The sequence below is a fragment of the Homo sapiens genome, chromosome 7, assembly GCF_000001405.40.
Source record: "Homo sapiens chromosome 7, GRCh38.p14 Primary Assembly".
Classification (NCBI taxonomy): domain Eukaryota; kingdom Metazoa; phylum Chordata; class Mammalia; order Primates; family Hominidae; genus Homo; species Homo sapiens.
This window is the reverse complement of record NC_000007.14, coordinates 128263962-128271459: the sequence shown is the minus strand read 5'-3', so window position 1 is coordinate 128271459 and position 7498 is coordinate 128263962. Positions and strand designations below refer to the sequence as shown.

At 48.6% G+C, this 7498-nt stretch overlaps 1 annotated feature.

Moving 5' to 3' along the window:
• Nucleotides 3209–3938: an enhancer, noted in NCBI's record as "H3K27ac-H3K4me1 hESC enhancer chr7:127907575-127908304 (GRCh37/hg19 assembly coordinates)". NCBI's record gives its function as "activates a minimal SCP1, AML or CMV promoter by ChIP-STARR-seq in naive H9 embryonic stem cells {active_cell/tissue: H9 hESC(naive)}" and the evidence as "EXISTENCE:reporter gene assay evidence [ECO:0000049][PMID:30033119]".

Below are 7498 nucleotides of genomic sequence, written 5' to 3'. Positions count from 1 at the left end.
GGCTGCTGGGGGGTCTGACTGGGTGTCACCCTACCGGATACACCTATCTACCGAATCGTGGAATTGTTGATGCAGAATCGACCTAAGCAAATGGGTCTAGGATGCGATTTTTCAGCTGAGGAAACAGGCCCAGAATGGGGAAAACGTGTGCCCAGGCCACACAGCATCAGGATTAGACTCCTGGTGGCTGGCATCCCAGTGGGGGGGCCCTTGTTAACTCTCCCACGTGGCTGCGCTCTTCTCCCCAGCCCGGCGTGGAAAGCCTTGACCAAGACGGCGTCCTTGCCCCGGACCTTGCTTTTTGCAACCCCCACCCCTTTCAGCCGCGTGAAGAGCCGCGAGGCAGAGCGGGAACACACTGCCTCTGCCCAGCACCCCTAGCGGTTTCCCGGTGAGGCAGAGGGGTCCCCGGAGAAGGTGGAGGGCGCTTTCCACATCCAGGCGTGGGGGACTAGGCTGGGCCTCTAGGCCGAGCGCCGCCTGACGGTGGAAGCCTACGAAGGGCTTGAGACACCGCGGCCCCGACCCATGTGGTGGCTGAGTTTGGCGAGAGGAGCACGGGCCAACGTTTATTGGGTAGCCACCGGGCGCTGGGCACAAACCGTGGTTCAATCAGCTTAAAGGACTGGCAAGCGCGTATTGGAGACCCACGGCCTCCCCTGTCCAGGCCCTGGGGGTACCTGGTTCCATCAAGCCTATTTTAAATGGTCCTGAGGCTGCCTTTTCAGATACTTGGCCCCTTTGGCCACAGAATATGTGGGTCACAGATGCTCCCTCCCCACACCCCACAAGGGTCCCTTGTCTTCTTTTTTAATTTTTTCTTTTTTTCTTTCTTTCTTTCTTTTTTTTTTGAGACGGAGTCTGTCGTTCAGGCTGGAGTGTAGTGGCACGATCTCAGCTCACTGCAACCTCTGCCTCCTGGGTTCAGGCGATTCTTCTGCCTCAGCCTCTCGAGTAGCTGGGATCACAGGCACACGCCACCACAGCCAGCTATTTTTTAAATAGTTTTGGTAGAGACGGGGTTTCACCATGTTGGCCAGGCTGGTCTCGAACTCCTGACCTCAAGTGATCCACCCGCCTCGGCCTTCCAAAGTGCTAGGATTACAGGCGTGAGCCACCGTGCCTGGCCTTAATTTTTTTTTAATTTTTAATTTTTGTGGGTACACAGTCGAGGTACATATTTATGGGTTACATGAGATATTTTGATACAGGCATGCAAATGTGTACTAATCACATCAAGGTAAATAAGCTATTCATTCCCTCAAGCATTAATTATTTTAAAATGTACAATTAAATTAATTTTTACTATAGTCTCCCTTTTATGCTAGCAAATACTAGGTCTCATTCATTCTTTCAATTTTTTTTGTACCTATTAACCATCACCCCTCCCCCCACCCCCACTACCCTTTCCAGTCTCTGGTAACCATCCTTCTATTCTCTATCTCTATGGGTTCAACTGTTTTAATTTTTACCACCCACAGATAAGCGTGAACATATGAAGTTTGTCTTTCTGTGCCTGGCTTATTTCAGTTAACATAATGATCTCCAGCTCCATCCACGTTGTCGCAAATTACAGGATCTCATCTTTTTTATGACTGAATTGTACTCCATTGTATATATGTACTACATTTTCTTTATCCATTCGTCTATTTTTTTTTTTTTGAGACAGGGTCTCACTATGTTGCCTAGGCTGGAGTACAGTGGAGCAATCATGGCTCACTGCAGCCTCAACCTCCTGGGCTCAATTGATCCTCCTACCTCAGCCTCCCAAGGAGCTGGGACTATAGGCACATGCCATGACACCTATCTAATTTTTGTATTTCTTTGTAGAGACAGGGTTTCACCATGTTGCCCAGGCTGATCTCAAACTCCTGGGTTCAAGCCATCCACCTCCCTTGGCCTCCCAAAGTGCTAGGATTATGGTTGTGAGCCACCGTACCCAGCCCCATTTATCTATTGGTGGACACTTAGTTGCTTCCAAATCTTGGCTATTGTGAGCAGTGCTACAGTAAACATAGGAGTGCAGATCTCATATGGTAGCTCTATTTTTAGTTTTTTTTGAGAAACCTCCAAACTGTCCTCCATAGTGGTTGTACTAATTTACATTTCCACCAACAGTGTATGAGGATTCCCTTTTCTCCACATCCTCGCCAGCATTTGTTATTGCCTGTCTTTTGGATCATACACATATTTGCCATTTGTTTGTCTTCTTTTGAGAAACGTCTGTTCAGATCTTTTGCCAATTTTAAAAGTGGTATTATTAGATTTTTTTCCCAGAGAGTTATTTGAGCTCCTTATATATCCTGGTTATTAATCCCTTGTCAGATGGGTAGTTTGCAAATATTTCTCCCATTCTGTGGCGTCTGTCTTCACTTTGTTGATCTTGTCCTTTGCTGTGCAGAAGCTTTTCAACTCGATGTGATCTCATTTGTCCATTTTTGCTTTGGTTGCCTGTGCCTATGGGATATTGCTCAAGAAGTCTTTGCCCACTTCAATGTCCTGGAGAGTTTCTCCAATGTTTTATTGTAATAATTTCACAGTTTGAGGTCTTATTTCAGCCTTTAATTCATTTTGATTTGATTTTTGCATATGGTGAGAAATAGGGGTCTAGTTTCATTCTTCTGCCTATGGATATCTAGTTTTCTCAGCACCACTTATTAAATACATTTCCTCAATGTATGTTCTTGGAAACTTTGTTGAAAATGAGTTCACTGTAGATGTGTGGATTTGTTCCTGGGTTCTCTATTCTGTTCCACTGGTTTATGCATCTGCTTTTATTAGGGCCCCTTGTCTTCTGTTTAGCCTCATAAAATATTGTATTATTTTCAACAACTGTTTACACATAAATCAATGTGAACATGACCCATAGGAAACTCAGCAGCAAGTGTGCATCCAGGGATATGAAAGGGCCACAGGGCTACTGCAAGATGAAGACAGGGAGGCTCCAGCCGTGCATCACACCATGGTCTGCCCCTTCCCTGCCAATTACAGCATCTCCTCTAAGCTGCACAGAAACCTGGGAGGGAGGCTTTGAGAGCTTAGTGACTTGCCCCAGCTCACCCAGCCTGGAGTGACAGGGCATGGACCAGGCCCCTGACATCCTGACCTCAGGTCAGTGGGTGATTACTTCTTCCCCCTTCCCAGATGTAGCAGGAGGCCTAAAACGTTGCCATTTTGATCCCCTGCCCCCTGTTAGCACTGGAGGGTTTGAGGGCTTCAAGAATTTCCTCTTTAAACAAATCATCCTGGAAGTAACTCTCCATCAGCCACTAATACTGTAAAAGGATTATGGTACTTGCAGGGATGAGGGGCATGGAGGAGGGGGTGCCAGGACCCCAAAGATCACCTCCACATGTTTCCCACAGCTCAGGGAGCCTCTGTGTCCCCCAGTGCCACTGTCTTCCCACCAGGCTATGAGCCCCTCTATTTGTTCAGTTTTGTTTCTCTGGAGCCTGGCACAGCATCGGGCACATAGTAGGCACTCAGAAATATTTGCCCAACTCCTCGCTTACCATCATTTAATCTGTCTGACCCAGGACCTGCCAGAATTGGCCAAAGGGCTGCCATTTGCACTCCTCCTCCCAGCACCCCCCGACCCCTGGCAGCCCAAGAATGAGCATGGTGGCACGGGAGGCCACAGGATTCCTCTAGAATCCTGTTTTTCATCATCTAGCCTCCAGCAAGGGATTTGGGAATTCCTCAAACAGCCAGTGTGCATTTGTGCATACACAGTTAGCCTGCCAGCTCTCAACATGCCATGAAAGACATCCACCAAGCAGCCCTCCTGGCCAGACTGGGCTGGGCGGCCCCAGACCTCCACGATGCTGTCCAAACCTCTTGGGGCTCTCTGATCTGTGCCAGTGCCTCATTCCTCTTCCCCGGACCCCCTGGCGGCAGCAGCAGCTGGCCCCTGAGACAGTAGCTTCCTGCCCTCCCTCCTTGGCTGGGACTCATCTGCATTTGGCAGTGCTCAGATTAATCCCGATTACCTTCCCTGCTGACTGCGCAGGAGCTGAACAATTTCTCTGGCCCCCGCCCCCATCCCCTGGGAAAACACAGCTGAATGTTCCTGCAGCCAATGTCCTCACGAACCAAGAAGATTATGGCCATGTCGGGTTCTAGGAAGAGCAAGGCCAGAGTGTGTTCTTAGGAGGGCAGGAGGCACCGAGGGATCTCGTAGCTCCCTAAACGGGGCAAATGGAGCGAGGCTGTGAGCAGGAATGATGCAACACCAACAGGCGGAGACTGGAGAGAAGATTAGAGAGGGAATGCAGAGGGAGGAGGAAGACAGCCTCTTTTGCAGGAGCTTTTATTTATTTCTATTCTCTTTGAAGTTAGACATCAAGTGGAATCAGGAGGGGAAAAGCAGTAAAGAAGCAGGGAAAGAAAAAATCAAGAGTCAGGCAGCTGGTATGCGCCTCAGAGACCTGTGGGGGGACTTGTTTCATGCCCAACCCCGTGCCTGGGCAGAAGGCCAGGAACGATCCTACCCTTAGGGATGCAAACATGTGACCATCAGAGAGAGGCTGCCAGGGCAACATTTTCCTAGGAGACAGTACGATCCTGGAGGGCAAGGACCATGGCTCTCAATCACTTCTGTCTCTGCAGTGCCTGGGACAGAGCGTGGTATACAGTAGTTGCTGAAGAAATAATAGCTATGTGCTAGGAGCTATTGAAAGGCCTTTGAATGCTAATTCATCATGTCCTTTCACAAGGCTGTGAGACAGATACTACTATCTTCATGGTAGAGAAGAGAAAATGGAAGCACAGAGAGGGTTAAGTCACTTGCTCAGGGTCACACAGTTTGAAAGGAGCCAGGCTGGGATTCAAACCTGTGCAGGCTGATTTGAAAGACTGCTCTTATTCACCATTCTCTACCCTCTTGAAAAAAAAGAGGGATCTTTTCCTACCCTTTTCTACAGACTCTTGAAAGAGTGAAAAGAAAAAAAAATATGTTAGTTGTAGAATCGAAAGAGAGCATTTAAATTCAGTTTCTTATTTTATCAACTAAGGACTAGACAGGAGAAGGGATTTGTCCAAGACCTTTGGCACTAGCAGCTACTAGTGGAGCTGGGATTAGAACCTAGGTCTCCCAGTGCCTACTCCCAGGAGCTTCCTACCTCACCAGTTTGTCTTGGAAGAGAACAATCAGTGCCCTCCATGGTTTGTAAACTGACTATTTAATGGCATAATTGTCTGCTGGGCTTGGGAATCTGGTGGAAAGCAGACCTCTTCTTTACCTCCCCAGCCTTTCCTCAACCCGGTCAGGCTGGCTGCATAGGGTGGACCCGAGATCTTCAGGCCTCGGCAGCCTGGCCCAGCAGGAAGACATTGAAGCTCACCAGGAGGTGGCAGGGAGTGTCCCTGGGGGAAGCTGCTGAGGCCAGTGCTCAGGAAGGAACCAGGGCTCTGTCTGAGGACCAATTCCATCCGGGCCTGGTAAGGGACATGTGGCTGTCCAGTGTGAATGTTCTGTGCTTGTATATTTCAGCCTAAATTCCCAGTTCTTTGGCAACCTGAATACTGAACGTTTTCAGAGTAGTTTTTCTCCCAAGGCGTTTGTTCTGGATCACTAGTGTCTGGTATATATCATTTTTGATTCAACATATTTAAAACTCATTTCCCCCCCAGACAAGACAAATAGAATTTGTAGCTTTCCATATGGGCTTTTCAAAAAGATTGGTACTGGGAGCCATTGGCTTCCCGGAGTGGTGTCATTTGATTAGCCCTGGTGTTCTTCCACTTACGGGGAGTGGGTAATTGCAGTTGTTCCAAGTGGGAGATGGTGTGATTGGGTTTTTCTCCTATGGGGAAAAACAAATCCTATCAGATAGATGAGTTTCTGGCATTTCCTATTCTTCTTTGTGACAGGATCTTCCAGAATAGAAGTCTCCCAGCAGTGCACATCCAGGAAGCATCCAGGCCAGGTTGGGCAGGGTTTAATAAGCGCTGGGCCTTTCACCTGGATGCTGGGAAGGTGCTTGGATCTATGAAAACCCCAGGGTGGGGTCAGGGGCCAATGCAGAGGTTTCCCAGAGAGCTCTGGGGCTGGGTCACTTCCCCACTGGCCAGTCTGTCATGCTGAATGCCCAGGACTTCCACAATGAGTCCCAGAGGTGAGATGACAGGGTCAGGGTCAGGGCCCACTTCTGCAGGAGTTGCCACTTACCTTGTTTGTTAGGACACAGGCAGAGTGTTGGAACAGAGAGGATTGCCTGGAGGTTCCTAGGACCACAGCAAGAGGTGTTGTGGGGGGCTTCCCGGCTTCCCGGAGGCCCTTCTTCCCATGACAGGAGGGACAGTGGAGATAGCACCTACTCTGGTGACCTTGCTCTCTGCTTTTGTCTTGTGACCTGCTTGTGGGTGAGCCCTACCCCTTGGTTTCCACGTGACCCATAAAGTCTACTCATTTTCTGTCCAGGGTTCAGGCACAGAGAGAAAAGGCAAGGATGTGGAGGGAGAGGAGAGTCCCTGGAAGGAATGTCCCCAGCATATCAGCCTGGAGTTTCCATTCAGGAAATTTCCCCAGCTCCCCAGACCCTCCCAGACTTGCCTCCTCCCTCCTGACAAAGCCCCAGCCCTACCCATAGCCCCAGCCACCACCCCCTTTGAGGAGAGAAGGTGCTGGGTTGGGTGAGGAGCTCTGCGGGAGGACTGAACCAAGCTGTGGGCTCCTGGGCACCTGCCCATGAGCCAGGCCTGCATCTCCCAGACCTGCTTGTGGGTGAGCCTGCATGCTGACATGCTTGGCTGGGCTCTAGCCTTGGCTATTGGTGGCCCAGGGTGTGTGTGTGTGTGCGTGCATGTGTGTGTGTGTCCCTTTGGAGCTATGTAGTTTGTGTACCAAAATAAGAAGGGAGCTGGGGAGTTGAGCCCTGATGAACTTTGTAACAATAAAGCCTTATCTTGTTAAATAAATCAAGCCTTGAATAAATGCCTGCTTATTCCTTGCCAATATTTTCCTGCTACCTAAGGCAACATAGCTCTGTGACCTGTAACCAGTCACTTAACCTCTCTGGGTCTATTTCCATATCTATAGAAAGTGGATATAATACTATTTGTTCTCCTCAATGCTGCTTATTGTAGAGATCAAATGTAATAACGTGTGTGAAAGTGCTTTATAGATGGCAAGGTGCTGTTCTGCTGTAAGGAATCCTTCTGATCATTACGCTTTTTGTAAAGCAATCAGAACAGCCATCCCTACAACATAAGGTGTCAACAACACGACCTCCATTAAAAGGGAAGAAAAAAAGAACAAATTTCCCAGTGGAAAAGAATGACCCCCCGACAAAGCAGAAAGACCAGTAAAATAACCCCAATGAGAGCAATAACAATTTGGATGACTTAATATCAAGCCCCAATCCACTATAACCAGTAACAAAAATGTTCTTCATACTTATCAGAAGCAGTTGTCAGAGCCAAGGACAATCACTCCACCCTTTTCTAAGTCCGGGGTCAAACATTATTTTTTATTTGATGCCGTGTGGTTGAAGTTAAG